Source organism: Homo sapiens, chromosome 11, assembly GCF_000001405.40.
Source record: "Homo sapiens chromosome 11, GRCh38.p14 Primary Assembly".
Taxonomy (NCBI): domain Eukaryota; kingdom Metazoa; phylum Chordata; class Mammalia; order Primates; family Hominidae; genus Homo; species Homo sapiens.
The window spans coordinates 48,176,589-48,179,644 of NC_000011.10; the positions used below are offsets into that span (position 1 = coordinate 48,176,589).

General features: G+C 48.0%; 1 annotated feature.

Annotated features, from left to right (window-relative positions):
- Positions 305 to 477: a silencer, noted in NCBI's record as "fragment chr11:48198445-48198617 (GRCh37/hg19 assembly coordinates)". NCBI's record gives its function as "represses an EF-1alpha promoter that drives an FKBP-Casp9 reporter gene in an ReSE screen in phorbol 12-myristate 13-acetate-treated (for megakaryocytic differentiation) K562 erythroleukemia cells {active_cell/tissue: K562(+PMA)}" and the evidence as "EXISTENCE:reporter gene assay evidence [ECO:0000049][PMID:32094911]".

The following is a 3,056-nucleotide window of genomic DNA, read 5'->3' on the forward strand; positions in this document are numbered from 1 at the left end:
AATTACTTCCAGAACCTTTAGAGGGAGGGAGATGGCATGGCTCTTTCTTGGAAAGTCTGGAAGGACACCATGGGCTAGAGGGGACAGACACATGCCTCATGTGGCCTCACAGGTCAGCCTAGGACCTGTGACAGTGACAGGGAGACAGGTTTGGCTTAACACAAGGAAGGGCCTTTTGAGGAGCAAACTCCCCTGAGGGGTCAGCCCTCTCATGGGAGCAGCTCAGGGGAGAAGGCTCAGCCTTGGCTGCTGGGAAGGCCTCTTTCCTGGAGCGTGACTGATGACTTTGTGCCTCCCTCTGCTCTACCTCCTGGTGTAATGTTGTTGGTCCTGGGGGCAGTGAGATGGAAAGAAGGCATCAGGGAACAAGATGGATCTGCCCTTTGCATTTGCTTCTGATGGGGAGGGGGTCATCTCAGTCACTTCATGGTAACCAGCTGAAGCAGGAGGGTATCTGGGGTTGTGGATGGGACATGGCTGTGTCCCAACCACCAGCCTGCCTCCACTACATTCTGCTCAGAATCCACCCTCCAGCCATAATAAACCACTTACACATGATTTCTACACATGAGATTGTTGGATATAAAATGCTCCAGGAATAAATGCTCGGTGCAGCGAAGTAAAACCAGCACTCAGGCAAAAGTTTAATTCTCTCAGCAAGGCAATTTACTTCTGTAGAAGGGTGTCACTTGCATCAGTAAAAATCACAAGAGCACAGAGAACAAAGGAGACCAGGGAGTTTTTATCCTTAATGCAGTCCCTATCTCTGTGTCACTCCCCCATGGGCTGGGGTCAGACTGCAAAATCTGAGCTGACCCAGTTGGCTACTTGTACATATTTTCCTAAATATAGAAGGGGAGGGGGACGTGAGGTACAGAGGTGGAACGTGTGAGATGTGCAGTTTCGGGGGAACAATGGGTAGAGGTCACCAAGGGAACAGATTTATTGATTAGAGCTAACGGACATGGGGTAGGCTGTTTATGCTAACTAGGGGCAAGGAAGAACAAGAAAGTTGAGTTTGCGAACGAGGGATAAGGAAGTTAACAGGCTAAATCCTTTGAAGAGAAACTCAGAAAGATTTATTGTATCTTACAAGGTATCTTCTTTTTGCTCAAATTCTTGTATGCTTCCCCCTTTCCTTGGCCAAACTCAGCTTTAGTCATTCCTCACTCTAGAAAGCCTTCTCTTACTCCTTTCTATTTAGACTGTGCTACCATAGAATCTCACACATGACCTTGGGGCCCAGCTGGCTCTCCCGCATAGAGCTGTTGTCAACGTTAAGCGAAAAGATAGTGCCTGGAACATAGTAAGTAATAAGTAAATGTCTGCTACTATTTTTATCATAGCATTTGGAACACAGGATTGTAATTGTGGCTTCACAATTCTGTGGGGCAGGAGCTATTTCTCATTTATCCCTGGATACCCGGAGGCCAGCACATGGCCTGGCATCTGGATACACAGTGTGTTTGCTGAATGCATGCACGCCTGAGTACATGACTGCATGGATGGAGCAGGCCTTCTCCACCATAGTACAGTTACAGGGTGTCAGGAAGAGCCTTCCACCCAAACACGTGTATTGCATGAAATCCCAACCTTGGAGGAGGAGAACAAGCTGATGTTCACGGAGTGCCTGCTCTGGGTGGGGCTTGACACTGCCGAGCACTTGACATATGTTCTATTAATCCTAGGAGACGAGTTTGCTGAGGGTTCCAAAATGTGCCCTGCAGCTCAGGTGAGTACCTGCAGAACAGCACCCTGGATCGTTTAGAGCTGATCTCACCTTGCTGTCAAGCCCCGTCCTGCTGATGGCGAAGGGCTGCGGAAAGCATGGACTTGTCAGTTAAAGGTGGTTCAGTGTCTTCTGGTTAAAAGCTTTTTTACACAGGAACAGAAAACCAAAGACTGCACGTTCTCACTTATAAGTAGGAGCTAAATGTTGAGAACACATGGATACGTAAAGGGGAACAACACACGCGGGGGCCTGCTTGAGGGTGAAGGGTAGGAGGAGGGAGAGGATCAGGAAAAATAACTAGTGGATACGAGGCTTAATACTCACCTGGGTAATGAAATAATCTGTACAACACACCCCCGTGACACGTTTACCTGTACAACAAAACTGCACATGGATCTCTGAACTTAAAAGTTAAAAAAGAAAAACAACCAAATTGTTTTTTAGGTAAACTCAGGTTCTCTTTGATAAATGCTCAGTCTTGAAAGTTTTCTCCATCCACTCTCCTCCTTTGATTTTTTCCAACTTTTTAAATTTTTTTGAGATGGGGTCTTGCAATATTGCCCACGCTGGTCTTGAACTCCTGGGCTCAAGCGATCCTCCCAACTCGGCCTCCTGAGTAGCTAGGATGACAAGCGTTGGCCATCAAGCCGGCTTCCTTTGTTTTTTTTTTTTTAAGATGGAGGCTAGAGGAGGGGGAAGCCTGTGTCTTCTCACGGCGGTGGGGCGGAAACCCTTCTGGTCTTCAGGCCATCCTGTGGCCTTCACTGGCTCTTGCTGATATGTCTTACCCTGTGTATCTCCAGGCATTGCCTGTTATTGTTGAATCTGATGGAGATGAAATTGGTCTCCTTCTGCCCTTGGCCATGTTTGTTGCTCCTGGCCATGGACTCTGTCATTACAGAGGATTAATTAATCATTAATTAATGATTCTCCTTAATCCATTATTGAGGACAAGGCTGCCTCCTTGTCCGGACCTCAGATCTCATGGTCTGTGCGGCTTCAAAGCATCCCTGGGATAGGGTGCATGGGAAGTTCTCGTTCTCTTGCACATGCACACTGCAGCTCTGCTTTCACCCATGCAGCTCTGCTGCTCCTTTGCTGTGCTGGAAGTGGGGATGAAGCTCATATGCGGATGTTCTCAAAATCTTTTTCAGCCTTATCTGGAATTTCTTCCTGACTTTTTGTTGCCTTGAGTCCCAATTCCCCTGCAAGAGGGCGGGATGCTGGCGTCTTTGTTGGGGGCCCAGGTGGTGTCCTCAGGGACTCTAGTCTCATCCCTTCTGAATGCCTCTTTCCACTGCACCTTCAGCCAGAGCCTCTTCAG